Consider the following 24,408-nt stretch of genomic DNA (forward strand, 5'->3'; position numbering starts at 1 on the left):
TAAGGCCTTTCTGCAGAGGCCCTACACTGAGAAAAGCCCCCAGTCCAGCTGAGAGTGCCCTCTGGAATGGCTGCAGGGCTCCTCCTTCCCCGGCTCCTCCTCCACTCAGACCCAGGCCTGGGCCCTGCTCGCTAAAGCGTGAAGGAGGCCCCCCAGGGAAGCCGCAGGCGCAGGGGCTTTAAATTATAGAGCAGCTTTCTTAGCCCCTCTCAGAAAGGCCCAGGCACCTTCGCTAAATAATTCACGACCTCAGGAAGACCCACTGGTTCTTGACACAGATGAAGTAGGTCAGCCCTCGGCTTGGCCCTGGGTGGGGGCCATAGGACACAGAGCAGCTTTCCCACCAGCACAGGCAGGGGCTGAAGGCTGGGCGGCCTTGCCAGCTGGTCCGATACTGCAGCGAGGCAAGGGGCACAGCGCGGGAGACGAGTAACCCCGGACTCCTCTGGGCACGAACACAGCCACCCTCTGAGGTCCAGGTAACTCGCCCACAGACACCCAGGGTTACCTGCAGGGCCTGGTCCTGGCCAGGCTCCTCCTCCTCCTCCCTCAGAGCACCTGGGTCGCCAGCTGACGCATTCACCAGCACTGACATCTTAGACCCAAGCCGACCTGTGCAGGACTGGGATTCAGGAGACGGGGTAAGGCGGGGAGCGGTGACCTGAGGTGCAAGTGAGGAAGTGACCAGAGCCAGCCACAGCCACTTTAGTTTTGCTTAGAGCAAGGCTGGAGCAACACCTATTGGGAGGGGGGTTCCGGGGCCTCTGCTGTCCTCCCTTTCCAGGCACGGCTTTGGGTCTGAGGTGCGGTGCGGTGCAGAGCAGCTCTCCCAGGAGTGGATGAAAAAACAAACAGTTAAACCCTGAGTTCAGCACACCAGCCCTCCAGTAAGAGTCTGAAAGGATTTCAAGCAACCTCTTCACAGACAAGGAACCCGAGACCCCAAGTCACAAAAGGTAAGACTGAGGGTCATGACGGGCATCCTGACACCTGGCCCAGGCCAGCCTGGGCTCTTGGCACTGCACAGCTTCCCTGAGCCTCACACCCATTTGCTCCCGCTCCAGGAATCAGAGTTGCAGCCCATAGACTACAGGGTGGATGAGGTTAACCCCTTCTGGGCAAGATTCCAGGTCCTAGCCTTCCCTCCAGCACAGCCTCACAAGAGGCACGCCAAGGACAGACACCACCTGGCAGAGCCCAACAGCCCAAACCTCAGTCCTCTTTTACCAGAGCGAGACTCAAAAAGACCACAGGCCGTAAATGGTTAAGCCGAGTATATCACCGCCTTCCCCCAGGAAGGTCCCACCTGGGGGCCTGCTCTTGGTGTAGGGAGTCTCTCCCTACCCTGACAGCCTGGAAACTGAGGAAGTAAAGCCACAACTGCCAGGCCCTTAGGCAAGTCACTTACCCTGGACTTTGTTTCCCCAGCTTACAAACCAGGGAGGCAGGAGAGGCTAAGTGAGCTCCAAGGTCCTCCCCCACCACCTTTACAGTCACAAGCCAGCTGCCAGCGGGCCAGGCCCACTTCACTTCCTTCCCCCGACTCCACATCTCTCTGGCTCTGCCTTCCCAATGGCAGTCTGCGTCCACGGAAGGGGGAAGCAAAGGCCGAGAGCAGTCATTTTGGTTTTGTTTTATTTTGCATTTCATATATTATCCAGTTTCACATTCTCACAGGATCAGCAATGACAACAGCCGCCTCATCTCCCAAGTCTGAAATGGCCAGACGGTCACAGCTGCGGCTGACAGTAAAGCACTGATATGCTCAAAACAAAAAACATTGCACAGTGTTTCCTTCATTTCATTTTCTTAAACAAATGCCAGACACAAAGGCGTACTGCTGAAGAATGGAAACCCTTTTCTTCTTCATGCCTCAAACTAAACATTAAACTTATCTGACAGGGCGAACGAGGTCGCTTTAATAATTAATGGTACGCACATGAAAAATCCTTTATGATGCATAAATATTTTGTTACACAGGGTACAAAAATACTTCTCACGTTTTGGTTGGTTTCGAGGTTTGGAAAGAATGAGGAGCAGCGGCGGGCGGGGTGCGCTGTGGAGAGGTGAACAGAACGGGCAGAGAGGGCTTTCTTACGACTGTTGGCCCATCCGAGAAGGCAGGAGCGGAGGAGCCCCATGTGAAATGAAAAAGCAAACCCCATCTATCTGTTGGGTGGAGGTGGGAGCTGAGCCTGGAAGCGTGTGGGGCCACGGAACTTGGGCCTCCCTGAAGCGGGGTGGGTGCAGGGGCGGGGCGAGGAGAGAGGGGCAGGCAGGATGAACCACTGGGAGCCAGGACCTGTCGCTATGGTGACAGTGTGAGAACAAACTGTACACTCATATATACAAGTATAAGTGTCTTAATTCATGCCAGAAAACATGCAAAATTAAACACCTCACTTCCTCGAGGGGGAGCTACAGAAGCAAGTTTGGGCGGGAGGTCAGGCCTTGCCAGGTCCCAGTGAGGCCTCCGAGCTGGATCTGGGCGCCCCAGGGAGAAAGTCCCCAAATCCTCCTGGGAGGCATTGGAGAAAGGCTTGAGGGTGCAGAACAAGGTGAGGAAGAGGAGGGAGGGGAACAGGAAGCAGTCCACTGAGTCAGGCTTGGGATTCACAGTCTCTGGAGGGCAGCAGCTCTGTGCAGGCCGCCCGGGGGCAGTGGGAACTCGGGGCGCCTGTCCCGGCACCACCACAGATTACCAGAACCACCTCCCCGGTGACCAGACCTGGAGGGAGGGAGAGAGGCGGCCGTGAGCAGAGGCGTGGGACTAGAGCTAAAGCCAGGCCTGCTCTGGGCTCGGCTAAGCTCTTGAGACCCGGGGCAGAGGGAGGAACTACGGCCCTTCAGGGAGCCGGAGTCTAGGACACTTGTCCTGGGCCTCTGGGGCCAACACTTACTGAAAAACTAACAGAACTGACGGTACTTCCATCCTTGCTGGGTGGTGTCAGAGGAAGGGTACCAGCGCACCTGCAAGAGAAGCCAACGTCAGGAGCCAGCTGTGCATCCCTTCCCTCAACAGGAAGCCAGGTAACCATGGCCATCGGTGTCCCCGCTGGAGTCCTGGTTCTGTCACTGATTGGCTGGCACATTTTGGGCCAGTTACTCACCTTTAAGCATCAGTTTCTCTATCCGGCAAGTGGGAGTGCACTGCCTGATGTGCCTCCTCTGCAGGACACAGGTTCCAGCGAAGGAAAGTCACGCAGGCGTCTCATACCCCAATCAGCCCAATCCAAATGGGCCACTATACTGGTGGGAGCCCTGGCAGCTGGGGGCAGTGGTGCCAGCAACCCGCCCTTCCCCTTTACTGACACAGCACGGAATTCCTAATTCTGTGGAGGAGGAGGAAAAGAATGAGCCTCATACATTTTTGTTTGACTTCTTTGGGTCTCAGTGTTCTCATCTAGCTATAGGACAGAAATGACGAAGTCATATGTGGTTGTGAGGATCAGGTAAGACAGGATGTAAAGATACAGTAAGGCCGGGTGCAGTGGCACACACCTGTAATCCCAACACTTTGGGAAGCTGAGGTGGGAGGATCACATGGGCTCAGGAGTTCAAGACCAGCCTGGGCAACATAGGGAGATAATGTCTCTATTAAAACCAAACAAGGCCGGGCGCAGCGGCTCACGCCTGTAATCCCAGCACTTTCGGAGGCCGAGGTGGGCGGACCACCTGAGGTTCAGAGTTCGAGACCAGCCTGACCAATATGGAGAAACCCCATCTCTACTAAAAATACAAATTAGCCGGGCGTAGTGGTGCATGCCTGTAATCCCAGCTACTCGGGAGGCTGAGGCAAGGAGAATCGCTCGAACCCGGGAGGCGGAGGTTGCAGTGAGTTGAGATCGCGCCATTGCACTCCCGCCTGGGCAACAAGAACAAAACTCCGTCTCCAACAAAAACAAAAACAAAAAACAAAACAAAACCCAAAGTCCGTGTAGACCCCAAGGGGTAGGACTCTCCAACATCAGTCCTGATTCTTCTGAGAAGCCATGGATGAGACCCAGCTGAGGCTCCCGTTTTGACCTTCCCACCCCTGCTGTGCCATGCCCTCCATCACAAGCCTCTAAGTCCAGAGGTCTATAACGTCAGGTGGGCGGCAGCTATCTGAGATCATCCTCACCAGTGCCTGGAAGTTGCCTAAACCCTGGCACTTGCCAGAAGGCCCCACAGAGCAGTAGCCCCAAAGCTGGGTTCCCAGAGACTGGTCAAGAAAATGGCACGTTCCCTCCTCCCTGTGGGCCAGTCATCTGGAAGGCAAGTATGCTGACTGCCAAGACCGCAGGGAAGGCCGCCTGCCCCAGTTATGCACGGTGAAGCATGTCTGTCCCAGCCTGACCCAGGACAGGGAAAGGGGTGTGGCGGGGGGAGCGGGACAACACAGGACCTTGAGTTGCGGTTGGGGGATGAGCATCCAGGGAGGGGAGCTGGAGTCCCCTCAGGAAGGGAAGGGGCAGCACATGAGCGTGTGGCAGGAAAGGAGTAGAAGCTGGGCCTGCAGACAGCTCCCTTGAGGTTGGAGCAGGCAGACCCAGTTACCCACTTGGCTGCTGGGAACTCCTGCTTCCTGGGTAAGCCATGCCAGGCCGTCTGGGGGCTGATGGAAGCTTCCTAAGAACCCGTTCCTATCCCCGCCAAATTCTAGGTGCTGTTTTGTACACTGCAGAATTCCAGCCACCACATCCCAGGAGCTCAGCGGGAAGTTAGAAACCTGGCTGGACACTAGCACTTATTCCACAAGAGAGGGACACACGAGGAAACGAGCAATGCTGCTATCAGAGAAGCCGGCGGCTGGCACCAGCTCAGGGAGCCCCTTAGTGGGCCCTGACCACTGCCCTTCATGTAGCCTCCGGCAGCCCCACAGCAAGGAAATCCCGGACGGGCTGGGTGTCCCGCAGGGCCGGACAAGGGGAGAACATGGACGACAGAATGGAAGGAGCTCAGGAGGCCTGCAACCCAACCTCTTTCACCACTGGGAAGCTAAGGCCTTGAATGACTGCCTAAGGCCGCCCTCAGCATATCTGCTGGATCCTGCCCTACACTCTCGCTACAAGGTGCTGGGATTCCTGCTTCCCAAGCAGCGACTTTCCCTCCAGCCTGAGGGACTCCTTGGGGAGAAAGTGGAGGAAAGCTCCCATATTTGGGCTTGGGACAGCTGTGCCACTGAAGCAGACGGAATGCATTTAGAAGGGCTGCTTTTCCGCTTCCTCCGGGTGCCTGGCATAGGCCAGTGGCCTGGGTCCTCTAGAAGCCACACAATCCCTTCCTAGAGCTCTTCTTTCTGCTCCAGCTACAGGAGACCCCCAGGGGGCCAGGCCAGCAAGACAGGGCACCCGCAGTGTCCTTTCAGGGCCTCCAGTTGTGCCCAGGGGGGGGGGGGCTCCTGAGAGTACCCCCCACAGGCTATAGTGACCAGGTTCCGAGAGGGCTGCTTCAAAACAAAGAGCGGAGGATGCAAACTCAGCCGTCTCTCAGATCCTGGGACTGACCAGTTGAGAAGATACACCAGAAAGCAAGCAACGGGATGAACCTACATAAGAATAAATATAAGGCCAGGTGTGACAGCTCACGCCTGTAATCCCAGCACTCTAGGAGGCAGAGGTGGGCGGATCTCTTGAGCCCAGAAGTTTGAGACCAGCATGGCCACCATTACGAAACCCCGTCTCTGCAAAAAAATACAAAAATTAGCTGGGCGTGGTAGCACACACCTGTAATCCCAGCAATTTGGGAGGCTGAGGCAGGAGGATCGTGCTTGAGCCCAGGAGGCAGAGGTTGCAAAGAGCAAAGGTCATGCCACTGCACTCTAGCCTGGGCAACGGAGTGAGACTCTGTCTCAAAAAAATAAAAATAACTAAAAAAAGAGAAAGGAAAAAAAAAAGATATAAACAACCAAAGATATGGAAGCCTCACTTATCCGAAATTAAAACATTTAACCCAGACTGGTAAGTCTACACTTTCACCGTGTCATAGTTCTAGGAATTTATCATAAAGAAAACAAAACAATGGCTGGGCGCGGTGGCTCATGCCTGTAATCCCAGCACTTTGGGAGGCCGAGGCGGACGGATCACCTGAGGTCGAGAGTTCGAGACCAGCCTGACCAACACGGAGAAACCCCATCTCTACTAAAAATACAAAATCAGCTGGGCGTGGTGGTACATGCCTGTAATCCCAGCTACTAGGGAGGCTGAGGCAGAAGAATCACTTGAACCTGGGAGGCGGAGGTTGAGGTGAGCTAAGATCACACCATTGCACTCCAGCCTGGGCAACAAGAGTGAAACTCTGTCTCAAAAAAAAAAAAAAAGAAAGAAAGAAAACAAAACAGAAGAGGTGCCCAGAAGTACACACAAGGATATCCATTGTTGTATAGCTATCAGTAAGCAAAACTGTATAAACAAACCAATTTACCATCTACAGGGAGCTGGACACATTCGTACAATGGTGTACTAGCCAGGTATCCAAAATGTAGAGCTACACTTACTATTATTTATTTTAAGTCCTAATATTTAAGTTTTTTTGGTTTGTTTTGTTTTTTTTTTTTTTTTTTTTTTTTTTTTTTTTTTGAGACAGAGTCTCGCTCTGTCACCCAGGCTAGAGTGCAGTGGCGCGATCTTGGCTCACTGCAACCTCTGCCTCCTGGGTTCAAGCGATTCTCCTGCCTCAGCCTCCTGAGTAGCTGGGGTTACAGGTGCCCGCCACCACGCCCAGCTAATTTTTGTATTTTTATAGAGACGGGGTTTCACCGTGTTAGCCAGGCTGGTCTTGACCACCTGACCTCAGGTAATCTGCCCACCTCGGCCTCCCAAAGTACTGGGATTACAGGCATGAGCCACTGCGCCTGGCCCTAATATTTAAGTTTTTAAAAGATTAAATATGTATTGCAGTTTTTCTAAGATTCATACCTATAGATTTACTTATACACCTGCTCCAAACTACCTATCGAACTGAAGAATTAAAAGTACAGGTTTTCTGGGGATTGGATGATAAGCCAAAGGGAAGAGAACAAAAACTGCCTGTTTTTTTCCATAAATGCAGATATGCTAATACAATAATAGCTCCTGCTCATGAAGCACCTCCCCTGTGCCCAATGCTGTTCTAGGTAGATTTCATATACTAAGTTCATTTAATCCTCACAAAAACCCTATGAAGTAGATGCTATTATCATCTCCATGATACAGATAAGAAAATAGAGGCACGGGAGTTTATGTAACCTTAAGGTCACTGGTAAATGGGTGAACCAGTTTAAGGGGGAGAAAAAAGCCATGGAAGACCCGCATATCCTCAGGTTGGAACGTAAAATGAAATCCAGTCTGGGAGGACCGTGGGATGCAATAGGACGCTGAGAACCCTTGCTTTTAGGCCACCATCTTTCTATGCTGAACCCCACTGGGCCTGCCATCCACAGTTGCTTTTGTGCCTCACCCTCTTTAAGGGGAAGATTCTATCAAGAGGGTTAGAAGGCCAGGCAAGGTAGCCTCATGCCAAGACAGAGCAGGACCAAACAACCTCCAGGACCCCTCCTGCAGGTCTGGTCTCTGCAGCCACGTAGCTGTGGAGGCCTGGGCTCAGGCTGGGCTACTGGCAAAGGGCATGCAGCTGGGGTAGAGAACAGAGGTACTTGTTCTCATCACCTTGTCCTTCAGCTGCTACCTTCTCCTGAAGTCACCTCCTTGCCCCCAGGCACAGAAAAACTCAGTCCTTCTATTGGTCTTTTGGGTTCAAAACAATTCACTTAAGATCAACAGTGTCCATACTTCATTTAGACACTTTTATACCCTATCTCTGGGGCAGCACTGTCAGGGGGCAAGCAGTGGGGCTGTTGGAAGGAAAAAAATAAAATGTTCTTAGTCGGGAAACAGTAAAACAACCTGTTTTACTATTGAGGAAAGGGCTGCCCAGAGAGTTTGAGTAGCAAGGACAGAACTAATGACTCCCTGGTCTAATCTCTTCCCATTAGCCTGCCTCCCCAAAAACGCCACTATCCTTTGGGGTGGGTGGCCTCTATCCCAGTCCCCGTCCAAGGAAGGCCAGAAGGCAGGAACTCAGGCACAAAGAGGCCTCCAGCCTCAGAGAGGACCCAAGGGAACCCAGACAATAATGATATTAAATAACATCACAACCATCTGCACTTTCACAGCACTCCCTCCATGCCATCACGCGACTCCATGCCATCATGCGAACAACACACCTATCAAGTAGGCATTATCATCACCATTTTACAGAAACACAGAGATGGTGGGTAACGTGCCCAATGTCCCACAGCTGTTGAGAACCAGGATTTGGGCCAGAGTTGGACAGCTGCAGAGTGTGGATGGGGTGGGAGAAAACTGGGAAGGAAGCCAACAGGAGGAAGGAAGCCCTGTGGCGTGGAGCTCAGGGCCAGAGAGCAGTGCCACCCCCACCTGGCTGGGCAGAGGTGCCCTCTCTGATTCATTTGACAAACTCATTGTCCCTGGCTCCCAACCTCTGTCACAGCCTAGCAATTCAGAGGATAGGGCAGAACCTCTCCACCTTATCTGGTCTATCCCTCTCATTTTACAGATGGGGACACAGAGGTGAGGATCATGTAGCCAATTGGTGCCAAAGCTGGGATCAGAGGTGAGAAGCCCAGTGAGGTGGGAGCCTGTGATTCCTTCCAGTGCCTCCCAGGGCCTTGCAGTTAAACATCCGCTTGACCTGAAGCATCAAGTCACTGCCCAGGTCAGGGTAGACAGGATGAGCTTCCCTGCTCCCCGCTCTATTCCAGCCACAGAACCCAGTTTGCAGTAAATACCCAACAATTCCCTCCAGGGGAAGGTCTTTACCACCTTCCTTATCCTCTGATCAATTTTCAAGCTATTTGTGGTGCTCAGCTGGGGAAGAGCGCCAGGGTTAACCACAATTCTGCCCTCAGTACAACTGAACGTTGCGGAGCCAGGGAGCATTCCCCTGCTGGGGAAAACAGTTTGCTAGGGTAGCAGCCCCTGAATCTGAACTTTCCGCTTTGGAACTGGACAAACCCAGGTGTCACTGAGTCCCTGGAAGAACCTGAAAATGGACGTACACACAGCTCTCGGGCAGAGCACCCGACTCCTCCCGCCTCAGCTCTGGCTCCTGTGAACCCTCCTTTCTGGCTTCTCCTGCTTTCCTTCCTCATCCCCTCCTGCTCCCCAGCCAGGTCCCAGCAACCTCAATTCTCTCCTTCGCAGCAGCACAGCACACCCTGGCCGGGCAGCTCTTCCTGGGGATTAGTGCTCATCACCTGGCTGGTCAAAGGTTGAGGTGGGCTCAAAAGTGCCCCCCAGCCCCTTCCTGTGGCTGCCTGGCTGCAACTTGTCACTGCCACTGTGAGGCACCCCACTGCTCCCCGACACACGCACAGTGGGATGAGACCTCCCCTGCAGAGTGCTCCAGTGACCTGCACTTGTGGCCAAGTCAGACCAGAGGAAGCGCCTGCATGGCCAGGGGAAAGCCTGACTCCCTGCCTGCCCATTGGGCACCCAGCCCAGCACCCCACACAGAGCCTTCCTGGCCCTGCTCTAACAGCCCCGACTCTCCCCAGAAGCATTCACTCCCTGTTTCCTGCCCGGCACAGGTTCACAGTGGACAGCGTCCAGCCTTCATGGAAGCGAGAGCCAACACTCAGGGCGCTCTAGGTTACATCCTAGCACTCAGTAGTCACTTCGTCTTGACATCTAACTTTCACAACAACCCTAAGGCAGATTATCTGATCATTCCCATTTTTCAGATGACTAAAAAAAAAAAATCGAGGCACAGCAATCTGTAAGAGCTTGATGAAAGGGACAGGAAGGGGCAGAGGCAGATGGTCTGACTCCAGAGACCATACCCAGGTTAGGACTGGAATCATAGTCCCATCACCATGGGAGAACATAGTCGGTGCCTGGGCAGGGGTGCTTGGGGCTGGGGAACCACAGCTGGGCTGCCTGGCATCCTCCATGGGAACTCGTGGGTTATCTTCTCCCTCCCTGTCAAATCCTAAACCCAAGGGGAGGACAAATAGGTCCCTGGGGTCTGGGCTTTCAAACCATCAAGGAAGACAAGAGTTCTGCTGCAGCTCTGGGACAGCAGCGGCCAAGTGGCCAGGCACATGCAAAGTCTGGCCAGCTAAGAGCCCTTGTTCTTCGCCCTCCCCAACCTTAAAGGGCTTACCTGAGCGTGGAGGGCGGCGGCAGCGGCAGTGGCAGTTGGGTAGGTGAACGCAGCATGGGAGATGGCTGGGGTCAGCTCTGTGGTGTACAAAGGGTAGGGGGCCCAGGCCTCTGGGGATGCAGGGATCAGAGCAGCCCCCATCAGGTCATCTACAACAGGAGACAATGGCCTCCATCATCAGAACACTCGCCTCCCCTTCCAAACGGAGAAGGGGACCCAGCACTATGGTTGAGCCATATGCCCCACACTGAGGCCAGACCACCCCCAACCACAGAGGACCCCGAGACCAGGCAAGGAAGCCACGTTAAATCGGCCTGTCATGGTGTGCATCCTGCCTGCTTTAAGACAGGCCTCAGCTCGTCTCAAATGAGAAATTAAAGAAGGTTGCAGGGAAGCTGGAAGCCCTGGCAGCTCAGAAATTCTAGGCAGGCTGCAGGGGAGGGAGGAAAACCAGGTGTTTCAAAAATGGGTGGCCGTGGACACAAAAAGCCTCCTGGAAAAGGGGCTTCCCTCTGCAAGAGCCTGCAAGTCTGCCCTGAATGCAACTCCATGAGGGCCTGCCAGCTCAGAGTGCCACTCACAGGGGTCCCGTGCGATGAAGTGTGCTCCTAGGGCGGGGTGCACGTTGCTGGGATTTGGAGTTGCCATTAGCTTGCTCTTGGCCATCTTGGTGTTGGCTTTGGCAAACTCTAGCCTCAGAGTCTGTGGATTTTCGGGATCAAAGCGAATACCCTACATGGGTAGAGAAAAGAAGAGAAAGGCTTACTCCGGGGGACCCAGAGTGTTAATGGCAGAGAGTAGAGAAGGGCGCCATAAACAAGCTCGCCTCGAAGACCTGCCCACACGGTGGCTGAGGCAGAGGAAAGGCAGCTCAGGCCTTGAGTAATGGCCTTTGGCACAGACAGTGTCGCCAAGGACTCTGCCCAGGGATGGCCGGGAAATAAGATACATCTGCACACCCACTGCCTAAGAGGGCTGTGAGTCAGAGAAGACCTGTTCTCCACCTACTCACGTTCAGCGCATTCTTGGCCGCTTCTGCTCCTGCACGGCTGTCAAAGATCACAAAACCAACAGGCTAGTAGGAAAAAGAGAGAACACCCTTATATCTCTCCTAGCATTCCACCTCTCCCTCCAAAATAACAACAAAAAAAGAGTATCATCTATGTGGAAACAGTATTTGCCCTGCTGATGAGAATACAAAAGGAAAAAAAGCCCCCCAAAACTCCAGCCCACATCCTCCCTGTTCACTGGAACAGCAGTTTAACATGCACCAAAAGTCAAGTCTCCCTCCCCAGGAATATCCTGTGGGAAATGATGCCAACAGAGCTTAATTCCACTGAATTAAACGTCGCCCTTTTAGTAAAAGTATTGTTTTTAATGCATGCAGATAACTAAAAGTAAGTCCCAGTGTTTTCCCCAGCAAGAAAGGGGACACCAATGTATCAAGGGCATGGGAAGACTCCGGTTCTATCAAGGAGCAATAGGTTGAAAACTGCTCCAACTTCATTTTCCCAAGGATCAGTCTAGACCCCAAATAGCCCCCAAAGGCTAGCGGGCCCTGGCCTCCTTGTATTAAAAGCTAGAGCTCAATCGTGCCATTGCACTCCAGCCTGGGCAACAAGAGCAAAACTCCATCTCAAAAAAAAAAAAAGCTAGAGCTCAGCTAACTGCTTTACTGTCCTCAGCCAGCGGGGCTCCCAGATTCCTAAGAAACAGACAGGGAGGACCAGGAGCTGGCTGGGCTCAGATGGCCAGTGAAGAGACAGTGGGACCTACAGAGGCTGCTCTGTCAGAAACAGGACAACAGGGAGCGCAAGTCTGTACCGCCAGATGCCTCTAGATTAGGGAAGGGTTAACGGGCCCTTGTTTGAAGCTCAGCAGCCGGTCTGGGCTGGGAGGAAGAAAACCCTAGGAGAGAAATTACCTGTCTTGCAGTGAGCTTGATCAGGGACCCTTCATACCCCTGCGGAGAGAGGTGGCTGTTACCGTGGAAGGTCAGAAGCGTATGTTGTGCTAGCCCAGCGCTGCCACCTCATCAGCCCCCGCGTTCCCCTGAGTCATTCTCACACCCTTCTCCCTGTCAACATCAACCCACCCTGACCTCCGCCACTGCCAAACGTCCACCGCCCTGCGTTCTGAATCACGCGGTCTAGCACATAGGGTGGGCATCACGCGGCAGCACTCATCACTTCAGGCAGAAATTCCCATTTGCTCCACTAACTAGTAACCCGAGAGCACAGACCTTACCTTTTAAGTTTTCTCATCTGCAAACTGAAAAGGCTACACTGAATCTCAAAGATTCTTTATATAACCACATATATTTAAAGATTCTTACTGTTAGCTGGGCATCATGGCTCACGTCTGTAATCCCAGCACTTTGGGAGGCCGAGGCGGGCAGATCACAAGGTCAAGAGATCCAGACCATCATGGCCAATATGGTGAAACCCCATCTCTACTAAAAATACAAAAACTAGCCAGGCATGGTGGAGGGTGCCTGTAGTCCCAGCTACTCGGGAGGCAGAGGCAGGAGAATCGCCTGAACCCAGGAGGCGGAGGTTGCAGTGAGCCGCACGCCACTGCACTCCAGCCTGGGCAACTGAGTGAGACTCTGTCTCAAAACAAAACAAACAAAAAGGACAAGCGCCGTGGCTCACACCTGTAATCCCAGCACTTTGGGAGGCCGGGGCGGGCGGATCACGAGGTCAGGAGTTCAAGACCAGCCTGACCAACATGGTGAAACCCCATCTCTACTGAAAACACAAATATTAGCCGGGCATAATGGCGCATGCCTGTAATCCTAGCTACTTGGGAGGCTGAGGCAGGAGAATTGCTTGAACCCAGGAGGCAGCGGTTGCAGTGAGCCGAGATCAAGCCACTGCACTCTAGCCTGGGCGGCAGAGCAAGACTCGTCTCGAGGAAAAAAAAAAAAAGATTCTTACTGTCTCCATTTAACTGGCGAGGAAACAGAGGCTCAGAAGGCAGCATGTGAATTCGCAGAACCAGGACACGGGCTGGACCTGCCCCCACAGCTTCTGCCACGCCTTCCCGCATCATCCTGCTGCCCTGCCCGACCCGAGATTCACTCCCGCTGCTTCTCCAGGGTCCCAGGCTCTACCCAGGGGGCGGCTGGGTCCTGACTCACCTTGAACGGCCGGAAGAGCAAGTAGAGTTCTCTGGGTTTAATGTCCACAGGGAGGCCGCTGACAAACAGTGTCCGGACCTGGAGACAGAGACCAGTGATCAGGGCCAGGCTGCCCAAGACGGACAGGGATGACAACAGCGCTTCCTTCAGGCAGGCAACTGGAATCCTTCTAGAGCTTAGAGGAATTCAGCCTTTCCTGGGCCTCCTTGGATACCCAAGGCAAATTAACATTGTTTCACAGCACTCAATTTCTCAAAGCCCTTTCCTTTCTCTGGGTACATCCCAGAGGCATCGTGCTGCGTCTGCCGGATGCCTCTGCACACAGACTGAGTCTGCTGGTGAACAGAGGCAAAAAGAAAGCCCTGTTTGATAAGGGTACAAACCCAGCCCAGCATGCCTTTTTTTTTTTCTTTTTTTTTTTTGAGACAGAGTCTTACTCTGTTGCCCAGGCTAAACTGCAGTGGCGTGATCTCAGCTCACTGCAACCTCCACCTCCTGGGTTCAAGAGATTCTCCTGCCTCAGCCTCCTGAGTAGCTGGGATTACTGGGGTACACCACCACGCCATGCTAATCGGTATGCCTTTTCAAACCAAAGCCTCCTCTAAAAATCTGAAGAAAGCTGCAGTGCCTGACCCCCCAAAAATGTACATGTAAAAATGTATCTATTTTTTTAATCCATTGCACCACTGGCCCCTCAGACAAAAAAGTATCTGTTTTCTAGATGATACCCATGGCCTCCTGGTAGAGAGCCTCCAGTCTGGTCGAGGGGAGGAGCAAAGATGTAAAGGAAACAGAGTCCCATGCCCACTATCCCCTGCAGTGATTTCAACAGAGGGCCCGGCACTTTCTCATCCATCTCCTGCTCCTACACGAGATGTGGGACCTTCAATGTCAAGAAACACCTTATACTCCTGCCTCTCTGCCTGCTCTTAGCATGGTGATGGTACTAAATGTTGACTGAACAGGGTAATGGGTAAACAGTCAAAACCATTATGCTGAGTTTTGAAGAACACGCTAAGATCTTGCCAGCTTCAGGTGAAGCATTTGATGCTGTGAGTTTTTTTTTTTTTGAGATGGAGTTTTGCTGTCACCCGGACTGGAGTGCAGTGGCGCCATCTCGGCTCACTGCAACCTCTGCCTCCCCGGTTCAAGCGATTCTCCTGCCTCAGCCTCCCATGTAGCTGGGATTACATGCATGCACCACCATGCCCAGCTAATTCTTTGCATTTTTAGTAGAGATGGGGTTTCACCACATTGGTCACGCTGGTCTCGAACTCCTGACCGCAAGTGATCCGCCCACCTCGGCCTCCCAAAGTGCTGAGATGACAGGATTGAGCCACCGTGCCCGGCTGATGCTGTGAATTTTGAGCATTGCCCCCAACATGGTTACAAGCCAGATCTAAACACTAGGTGTCCATCCTGTGACTGTAGCCACTGCTGCTATTTAAACGCTGCTGGCACCGGATGCTAAACTAGCAAGCCCTGATCAGCCAAAAATTGTGATGGGGAAGGGGAGACTTTCCATAGCTTAGATCCATTCAAAACATTTTTTGAAACCGTGGCTTCCTGAATAATGAAAAATGTGAACAAGCAGAGCGTCCCTACACGCTTGACTCCTGCTCTGGGCCACATCTCCTCCTGCGAAGCCAAGCACAGGTCTTCTGAACTCACCGCTGCAGATTTTAGAAGTTCACATGCCTCACCCCATCACGCGGCCATTCTTGAAAGCATTAAGTTGCCCTACAGTGGGCCACATCCCCTTCTTGAGAGGTACCAAAGAACTTGCTCCGCTCTCTAGTGATGGCCCGCTGACCCCAGACAACAGCCTTTCTGAGACGATGGCTTTTATCAGTGGCTTGTCTCAGGAAGCTGGAGCAATGTTAGGTAAAACTACACCCAATGCACCCAGAGAACTCAACAGAGCCAAGAATGTCAAAGGAAATCAGCCAGGATAGCTGCTGGTTACTGGTGTCACCACTCCCACCCACGCAAGAATGACTCTCAGCCACGGTGAAGACAAACTTTGTCTCTTAAACTTTGACTCTCAGCCATGGTGAAGACAAACCTCACGTGAGCTTTTGCCAAGCCCATTCAGCAGAATCTCGGGCCGCTTGGGACGCATCTTCTCCCTTGGGACACGTCTTCCCCTCAGTAGAGGCACCACTATACCAGCCTCTGTGCCCGGGGTTGGGGTGATGGCACCTCACACCTCACAGCCCTGGCAGCTCATGTCCCACGGAGACACCACTCGAATCCTGCTTTGTTGTTGGCAGCATCTGGGGGTCTGGATAGCCAAGGATCCAGGATGGGTGAAACCGAGCTCCTGACCTGAGCCCAGCAGGCCTCTCTGCCCTTTGATGTAAGGGCCTTGAGGTGTGCGTGTGAATCCCCAAGCAGAAGTGACTTGTCCAAGGTCACATGGCTTGTTCTTTAAAGGCAGCAGACCTGGAACTCAAAACCCAGGCCTCGGCCAGGTGCAGTGGCTCATGCCTGTAACCCCAGCACTTTGGAAGGCTGAGGCGGGTGGATCACTTGAGGTCAAGAGTTTGAGACCAGCCTGGCCGACGTGGTAAAACCCCATCTCTACTAAAAATACAAAAAATTAGCCAGGTGTGGTGGCCCATCCCTGCAGTCCCAGCTACTTCGGAGGCTGAGGCAAGAGAATCACTAGAACCCAGGAGGCAGAGGTTGTGGTGAGCCAAGATCGCACCACTGCACTCCAGCATGGGCGACAGAGTGAGACTCCATCTCAGAAAAAAAGAAAAAAAAGGCTGGGCGTGGTGGCTTACACCTGTAATCCCAGCACTTTGAGAGGCCGAGGTGGGTGGATCACTTGAGGTTGGGAGTTCAAGACCAGCCTGACCAACATGGAGAAACCCCGTCTCTACTAAAAAATACAAAATTAGCTGGGTGTGGTGGCGCATGCCTATAATCCCAGCTACAAGGGATGCTGAGGTAGGAGAATCACTTGAATCGGGAGGCAGAGGTTGCAGTGAGCTGAGATCACACCACTGCACTCCAGCCTGGGCAACAAGAGCAAAACTCCGTCTCAAAAAAAAAACCCAAAACCCAAGTCTTCCTACTACATGCCCAGCCTGGCCCACTGCACTCCAGCCTGAGCAACAAGAGCAAAACTCCGTCTCAAAAAAAAAAAACCCAAAACCCAAGTCTTCCTACTACGTGCCCAGCCTGGCAGAGGTGATGGGTGCTTTGGGTGCTGGGAAAGGACGACAGGACCCGAGCACCAAGCCCTCTGGGTAGCCCAGGGTCTGCCTCCAACACCTCACCCCAGAGGATGGGCCAAGAGTGCAGCCACCAGCGTCCTGATGGAGGGACCTAGATCGGTACCACTCCCTTCTCTCCTCCCCTTCCTCCCCAGGAAAGCAGGACATGATTTGGGTCAAAGACCCAGACCAGAGCAGACCCACGGAAACCTCTGCTTCAGTTCTCCCCAGGGGCCACACATTTCACCCAGGCTAATTTTAAACCCTCCCTCAAATGGCTCCTTTCTGGCCAGACCTCCCCAGAGGCCTCTTAAATAGCAAGTTCTCAGCACAGAGTTTCCGCTTGGGGTAGGGTGGGGTGAGTGTAGGGGCTGTTTCCTTATCCTGGCTCAAGACTCGTTTCCAGCCAGGATTCCCTCTGGGTCCGATGACCCTTTTCCTCAGGGTTCCATCTTTCAGGTTCTATAGAGTCCAAAAGGCTACCCCACAGCTCCCATCCTGTCCCTGGCCACCTCTCAGGTGGTCAAGGCAGTCACGGATGAGCTGGTGGGCCCGTCTGCCTGAGCACAGATGCTCTGTGGGGAGCAGTCCGGGAGGCTAAATCACAGCAAGTGTGATTCCCAAACACCCGCCTTGGTTCCTACTAGATTCCAGCCACCCCAGCAGATGACATCTTAAAGCCCAGCCCCTTGTACAGACAGGGAGACTGAGACCCAGAAAGCCTTGGTGATTTGTCAACGGCACACAGCTGAGTTCACGGAGGAGCAGGGCTCCTGAGACCAGGCACCCTGACTCTGCTGTTTGTGAGGGCAGGGGGAGCGGCACAGGGCAGCCTCATCAGCGTCATGGGTGGGTAAGTGCTGCCATCCATCCACTCAGTATGACACTTGTTTAGGATGACAGCCACACCAGAGTGAGGAGGGCAGAAAAAGGGGAAACTGGCAAACCAGGAGCAGGGGAAGCGTGGGCTCCGCAGGCTGACCAGCCACATGTAGGGAGGAACAAGAGGTTCCAAAGCCGCCCAACACCTGCTTCCATCAAGCCCGCCCAGCCCACCCACTCCAGGGCCCTGACAAGCGTCCACAAGGCTGCCTGCACTGCCCCCTCGGCTCACCCCTTCCTCACTCCTTAACTAAAGGTATCCAGCCTTCAGGTCTTTCCGGAGTCCTCAACTACCCTTTCCTTCCTCTGAAGCCCCACAGTGGCCGTTAGGACCCCTCGCCTTATAGTTCCCAGCAGTCTGAGGTACCCCTCACCTTGACTACAGAAAGCCCTAGAGACAGGAACCAAGCCTCAAAACATTTCCATCTCCCAATGTCCCTAGAGTCAGGTCTAAGCACTGGAGACCTCCCCCATCTCTACACACCTCAGTCCCTGCAGAGAAGAAACTCACAGCCAGAGACCAGATACGATCCAGCATGGCAGAACGATACCATAAATGGCAGAGAGGGCCGGGCATGGTGGCTCACACCTGTAATCCCAGCACTTTGGGAGGCCAAGGAGGGTGGATCACTTGCGGTCAGGAGCTTGAGACCAGCCTGGCCAACATGATGAAACCCCGTCTCTACTAAAGATACAAAGTTAGCTGGGTGTGGTGGCGCACACCTGTAGTCCCAGCTACTTGGCAGGCTGAGGCACGAGAATCCCCTGAACCCTGGAGAGATGGAGGTTGCAGTGAGCCGAGATCATACCATTGCACTCCATCCTGGGCAGGAGAGCAAGACCCTGTCTCAAAAAAAAAAAAAAGGCAAAGAGAACAGGCCTTAGTTACACTGGAGTTTGCTTCCTAGCTTCATGCTTGGCCTGAGGAAGCCACTTCATCTTTCCGAATCTCAGTTTCTTATTTTTATTTATTTTTCATTTCTTTTTTTTTTTTTTATGGAGTCTCGCTCTGTTGCCCAGGCTGGAGTGCAGTGGCACAAACTCTGCTCACTGCAACCCTGTCCTCTGGGTTCAAATGATTCTCCTGCCTCAGCCTCCCAAGTAGCTGGAATTACAGGCGTCTGCCACCACGCCCAGCTCTTTTTTTTTTTTTTGGAGAGACAGGGTTTCACCACGTTGGCCAGGCTGGTCTCCTCACCTCAAGGAGTTCCTTGAGGTCAGGAATCCCTGACCTCAAGTGATCCGCCCGCCTTGGCCTCCCAAAGTACTGGCATTATAAGTGCGAGCCACCATGCCCGGCCTCATTTTTTTTTTTTTTTTTTTGGAAATGGAGTCTCGGTCTGTCTCCCAGGCTAGAGTGCAGTGGCGCTATCATAGCTCACTGCAGCATCAAACTCTTAGGCTCAAGAGATCTTCCTGCCTCAGCCTCCAGAGTATCTGGGACTATAGGTGTGCACCACAATGCCTGGCTAGCTTTTCCATTTTTGTAGCGATGAGGTCTCACTATGTTGCCTGGGCTGGTTTTGAACTCCTGGGCTCAGAGAATCCTTCTGCCCTGGCCTCCCCAAAGTGGTGGAATTACAGGTATGAGCCACCATGCCTGGCCTCAGTTTCATCTTCACAACACAAACACCATCTACCTCCAAGACTAAGAGCTCACCTTACTCTCCCCATTACTTGTGAGAGCAATAAAATGCTGGCTTCATTTAGGGCTCCTGCATTTACCTGCACAAGGATCTCCCTCATCAGGTGCCATGAGCCACTTATTAAGGTTGTCTACTGAAGCTGGTAATGTGGGTAGGATGTCCTAAGGTGGTCACTAGATTCTTTAGTTTTTCTCTTCCCCAGAGGAGGTAATGCCCGAAATAGAAGACACCACAGAGATCAGCTAGTTCAACCCCTTCGTTTTATAGATGGGGAAACTGAAGCCAAGAACAGGGTAACAAGGCAAGCTGATGGCACAGCCAGGATCTTTCAGCAATGGCAGGAACAGAGACATGCAGTTACTTCTCCAAGGTCCAGCCAACTAGTCTTGTGTCTCAGGCCAGTACAGGGGACCATTGTGGTACCTACGTCAGGGTAACAGGGGAAACATTCAGGAACAGGCTGGATGCTCCAACCTGGGCAATATAGCAAGGCCCTATCCCCCCCCACAAAAAATCAGCCAGGCGTGGTGGAAGGCACCTGAAGTCTGAGCAACTCGGGAGGCTGAGGTGGGAGCATCGCTTGAGCCCAGGAATTCAAGGCTGCAGTGAGTCATGATTGCACCACTTGAATTCCAGCCTGGGCAACAACAGAGCAAGACCCTACCTCTAAAAAACAAAAATAAAAAATAAAAGGTTAGATGCAGACAAGGATTCAGGCACCGACAACTAGTTGATGACAAGGAAAGTTCAACCAAATAACTCATGTCCTGCCTATTCCATGGGTTTATTACAAGAATTCAGCACATACACAAAACGTTTTAAAGCATTTAAAGAGTGCACAGGGGTGGTTCTCACAATCTCAGGCTGCTGGAAGGCACCAAACGCATTCACTTGGGCCCTTTTCCATACTCTCATCCCTTCTGCAGAAGCATCCAGCAACCCAAGGGTTCCTGTCCCAAAATGTGAAGAGCAACCACAGCCCTTCCAAAAAAGTCACCCTTATGGCAAGTAAGAGCAGAAATGCTGGGAGCACAGTCAGGTCCTCAGCACAGCTGGAAGGTACACCTGTAGTCACATGGAGCAGGTATGGGGGAGACCGGGGGAACGGATGGAGGATGATTCTGAGAACTCAGTCAAAGATACTTGTTGAGGAACAACCCTTCTGGTGGAACCTGCTGCAAGCACCAATATAGGCAAGGAACGTGGCCAGGGTTGTGTACCCATACAGAATACCACAGACATGGCTGTGTGGCTCTCATGACCCCACAGGAGCAGACCCAGCCCTGCTGGAGGTCCCAGCCAGTGCCAGGCCTACCTAGGGGAACTGACCAACTTTTGGCACAACTGCCTCTGCCCAGCAAAGCTTTGGAGGCACCCAGAGCTGCTCTTTTCTGAGGCAAGTCTTGCCTCTAGAGTCACAGGGAGTGGGAGGGTGGGAGAGGGGTCCATGGACCCCACAGGCTATCACTTACTGGCACTTCCTGGAGTCCTCTAGATCTTTGCTGCCAATTGTTTATAAGCCTGACTCCTTTGGGGAGAAGGGCCTGTGTGTTCTTGAGCTCTCTCCCGCCAGCCAGTGCTAGACCTAGAGTGCCTGGGAGCTACCTATTTTTATTTTTAATTAAAAATTAAACTTTTATTTTTATTTTATTTTTATTTTTTGAGATGGGGCGTCACTCTGTGGCCTGGGCTGGTCTCGAACTCTTGGGCTCAAGTGATCTTCCTGCCCCAGCCTCCCAAAGCACTGGAATTATAGGTGTGAGCCACCTCACCCATCCTGAGCCACCTCTTGACCTCTCCCCACCTCCCCGGGAGGCCCCTCAGTCTCACTCCCAGCTCCAGCATCGTAACTCAGCCCTGGGGTCCTGGGGAAGGGGAGCACAGCACCTGGGTGGCACAGGAAGTAGAGCCCCCCATCCTCAGCCTTGTTTCTGGAGGCCCCTGGAATGGGGAATCCCCTCCTAGTACGAATAGATCTAGGAGGAGCTTTTGGACCATGCTGTCTAATCCCACCACGACGGAGGAGCCTGCCCAGGCTGCCCAGGTCACCCAGCCCTCTCTTTCAGGAAGGTGTGAGCTGCAAGCTGACATCCAAATGTTCTTCCTCCACAGCCCTCTCCAGCCTAGAGGTTAAGGGGTCATTTTTTAGAGAAGAGAAGTAAGAAGAAGGGGCTCTGACAAACCCATTCCCATCTACGTGTCGGTGATGTTCTTCCTTCAGACAAACTGACATTTGTTTCAGGATCTTCAGAAAAGACCAAATTAAACAACCCTTCAGGAGCAAAGTATCAGGAGCACCCAAGACACCAGCACAAATCCAGGCTTGCGTGGAAAGGGACTCGGCCTGTTTTTCTTTTTTTAATTATTTTTTAATTTTTTTGAGATGGAGTCTTGCTGTCACCTAGGCTGGAGTGCAGTGGCACCATCTCAGCTCACTGCAACCTCTACTTCCCGTGTTCAAGCGATTCTCCTGCCTCAGCCTCCGGAGTAGCTATGACTACAGGAGCGCGCCACCATGCCCGGCTAATTTTTGTATTTTTAGTAGAGATGGGGTTCCGCCATGTTGGCCAGGATGGTCTTGAACTCCTGACCTCAAGTGATCTGCCCACCTTGGCCTCCCAAAGTTCTGGGATTACAGGCGTGAGCCACCGCGCCAGGCCTACTCGGCCTGTGTCTATCAGCTCAGGTAGACGTCTCTCTTGGCCCTGGACACTGCCATGGGCAGACCTGGCATTCAAGCTGCTGCCACAAAAGGCCAGTGCCCTGGACAGCAGATGCTTAGGGTCCCTCCTTCCAGGGCACACACAGGGCCCAGCTCACATGGAGGTCCTGCAGGAATAGGGAATGGGCTCGTGGGGGAGAAGGAGGGGCCAAAGCAGCTGAGCAAAGCCTCCATGAAGAACAGGACTGGGACATGGGGTCGGCCAGGAGCCACGACCATGGGGACCCCACACTTGGTCAGAAGTGGCTGCGGCCTGGCCGCTCACCAGAAGCGTGTCTCCCTCTGCAAGGGGAAGGACAAGCCCGATGCTGAGGGATCCAACTCTAAACTTCTCAGATACTGTGACCATGAGGACAAGTTCCGTAAGTGCTGGCTTTTATTAGTGATGGAAAAGGTAAACACTGCTTTCAAAAACAGTGGTAGGCTCAGGGATATTAAAGTCTCTTAAGCTTTAAGTTTGGAGGACAAATCCCGGCCTTAGAATAGCCACGAAAGGACCCCAGACTCCAGGAACCACCACCTAGAAAACAGATCCTTCTCCGGATCACCTGAGGTCAGGAGTTCTAGACCAGCCTGGCTAACATGGTGAAATCCCCTTTCCACTAAAAATACAAAAATCAGCCAGGCATGGTAGCGCACGCCTGTAATCCCAGCTACTCGGGAGGCTGAGGCTGGAGAAATCGCTTGAACCCAGGAGACAGAGGTTGCACTGAGCCGAGATCACGTCATTGCACTCCAGCTTGGGCAAAAAGAGTGAAACTCCATCTCGAAAAAAAAAAAAGAAAGCAAACAGACCCTTCTCCACCAAGGATACTGAGGCAAGAAACCACTGGAACCACTCCCCACTCTTCCCTGCCCACAGACAACCCACCAACCCACCAGGAACAGTCACCCCTAGAGGCCAACTCTGGCCTTCTGTAAATTCCTGTCTCACAGGATTGGGACTTGGAGAAAAGACACCCCAGGAAAATCTCACTGCAGGCAATAGAAATATCCTTAAAAAAAAAAAAAAAAAGACTTTTGCAGCAACCCTTTAGCATCTCTAAAAGTTAGAATTCAATCTGGAAAGGAAGAATTGTTTCAACTGTCCACTCACAATGTTCAAGTAACGAATGCACGTGCTTCAGCAGTCCCCTACCCACTGCTTCGAGCGAGCTCTCCCGGTGTCATCCCGATGGAAAACACTACTTTGGGAAGGGGGTGAGAAGAGGAGAGAAATCCAAAAAGGGAAAAACGAGCCTCTTATAAGCCCCTCCCACATCCTTCCCCAACTCCCAGCCCTCAGTAGCAACCCAAATACAGAACATCTGAGCTGGAAGAAACCTTATTTTTAGAGGAGGAAACCAGGGCCTAGGGGTCGAGCGAGTTGCTCGCAGTTACCGAGCATGTCAGAAACAGCCTGTTCCCAAGTGCCCAGCTCACGAGTCAATGCTCTTTTGCAGACCTTGATCTCACACCAACCCACTCAGACCCAGTGGGGCCAGCCCAAGGTACCCAGGAACAACTGGCCTTCGGCTTTTTTGAGACAGGGTCTTGCTCTGTTGCTCAGGCTGGAGTGCAGTGGCGCAAACATGGCTCACTGCAGCCTCCTGGACTCAAGCGATCCTCTTGCCTCCATCTCCTGAGTAACTGGGACCACAGGTGCACACCACAAAGCCCAGCTTTTTTTTTTTTTTTTTTTTTTTTGAGACGGAGTCTCACTCTGTCGCCCAGGCTGCAATGCAATGGCATGATCTTGGCTCACTGCAACCTCCACCTCCGCCTCCTGGGTTCAAGTGATTCTCCTGCCTCAGCCTCCCAAATAGCTGGGATTATAGGCACCCACCACCATGCCCGACAATTTTTGTATTTTTAGTAGAGATGGGGTTCCACCATGTTGGCCAGGCTGGTCTCAAAAACTCCTGACCTCAAGTGATCCATCCGCCTCAGCATCCCAAAGTGCTGGGATTACAAGCATGAGCCACTGTGCCCAACTCCCGGCTAATTTTTTAATTTTGTGTAGAGGTGGGGTCTCACCATGTTGCCCAAGCTCATCTCGAATTCCTGGACTCAAGCCATCCTCCTGCAATCCCAAAGTGACTCACGCCTGGCCTGGTCTTCAGCTCATGAACAAAGAGGACAGACACAGTATCTTGCAAAAGGTTGGGGTAGGTATGATGGTGATGGTGGCGATGGCAGGGGGGTGGGGGGTGGTCCCACTGGATGATGCCACGGTGAATCCTACATGGTTACAGGCCAACGACGAGACTGACTGACAGACTGTCAACTCCCCACAGCTGAGTGTGAGTGGCCTTGTGCCCCACTAGCTATGGGGAGGTTGGGGATGGGTGCTGGAGCAGGCCCAGCCATCCCTACCAGCCCAGACCACAGAGCACACGAGCTGCAGCCTACATTTCTAAGTTTACGGCTTTCCTGTTATAAAGACACTGAGCACGTTTTCAGAATTTGCTGCCATCATCATCGCACCCAGATCTGATCTGGCTTCCCCAAGGGAAAGAGACCCCACTGAGAACCAGGACACTGCACTCAGGGTCCAGCTCAGAAGATACCCACTGACGAGATTCCAAACAAAAGACAAAGAACCTCAAAACAACGTCAGGAAGCCCAGGGTGAAGCCCCAGCCCTGTCACCAGCCATAGCAGGTGG

General features: G+C 52.9%; 1 protein-coding gene and 1 non-coding gene across 6 annotated transcripts in view, besides 4 other annotated features; both read right to left on the reverse strand.

The window, feature by feature from the left end:
• Positions 1-1,618: 1,618 nt before the first annotated feature.
• RBPMS2 (RNA binding protein, mRNA processing factor 2) overlaps positions 1,619-24,408 on the reverse strand; it is a 35,699-nt gene continuing 12,909 nt past the window's right edge. For 3 of the 5 annotated variants that reach the window (NR_138363.2, NM_194272.3, XM_047432446.1), the window contains exons 2-8: positions 13,289-13,366; positions 12,071-12,109; positions 11,159-11,221; positions 10,728-10,878; positions 10,147-10,295; positions 2,901-2,970; positions 1,619-2,728 (exon numbers count right to left, since the gene is read on the reverse strand). Coding sequence is in view for 2 of the 5 variants with exons in the window: in NM_194272.3 (NP_919248.1) it covers positions 2,908-2,970; positions 10,147-10,295; positions 10,728-10,878; positions 11,159-11,221; positions 12,071-12,109; positions 13,289-13,366 (543 nt within the window). In the remaining 3 variants the exon portion in view is untranslated. Of the gene's footprint in view, positions 2,729-2,900; positions 2,971-10,146; positions 10,296-10,727; positions 10,879-11,158; positions 11,222-12,070; positions 12,110-13,288; positions 13,367-22,858; positions 22,946-24,408 lie in introns of those variants that run through there. The other 2 variants (NR_138364.2, NR_138350.2) reach the window with 2 other exon arrangements.
• Positions 4,308-4,809: an enhancer, noted in NCBI's record as "H3K4me1 hESC enhancer chr15:65034779-65035280 (GRCh37/hg19 assembly coordinates)". NCBI's record gives its function as "activates a minimal SCP1, AML or CMV promoter by ChIP-STARR-seq in naive H9 embryonic stem cells {active_cell/tissue: H9 hESC(naive)}" and the evidence as "EXISTENCE:reporter gene assay evidence [ECO:0000049][PMID:30033119]".
• Positions 11,699-12,674: an enhancer, noted in NCBI's record as "H3K27ac-H3K4me1 hESC enhancer chr15:65042170-65043145 (GRCh37/hg19 assembly coordinates)". NCBI's record gives its function as "activates a minimal SCP1, AML or CMV promoter by ChIP-STARR-seq in primed H9 embryonic stem cells {active_cell/tissue: H9 hESC(primed)}" and the evidence as "EXISTENCE:reporter gene assay evidence [ECO:0000049][PMID:30033119]".
• Positions 16,404-16,463: an enhancer, noted in NCBI's record as "active region_9576". NCBI's record gives its function as "activates an Ori minimal core promoter by ATAC-STARR-seq in GM12878 lymphoblastoid cells {active_cell/tissue: GM12878}" and the evidence as "EXISTENCE:reporter gene assay evidence [ECO:0000049][PMID:35858748]".
• Positions 16,504-16,683: an enhancer, noted in NCBI's record as "active region_9577". NCBI's record gives its function as "activates an Ori minimal core promoter by ATAC-STARR-seq in GM12878 lymphoblastoid cells {active_cell/tissue: GM12878}" and the evidence as "EXISTENCE:reporter gene assay evidence [ECO:0000049][PMID:35858748]".
• MIR1272 (microRNA 1272) lies at positions 24,115-24,243 on the reverse strand. Its single transcript, NR_031674.1, has one exon. It is a non-coding gene; the product is annotated as a microRNA 1272 (primary transcript).

Source organism: Homo sapiens, chromosome 15 (genome assembly GCF_000001405.40).
Source record: "Homo sapiens chromosome 15, GRCh38.p14 Primary Assembly".
In the NCBI taxonomy this organism is placed as follows: domain Eukaryota; kingdom Metazoa; phylum Chordata; class Mammalia; order Primates; family Hominidae; genus Homo; species Homo sapiens.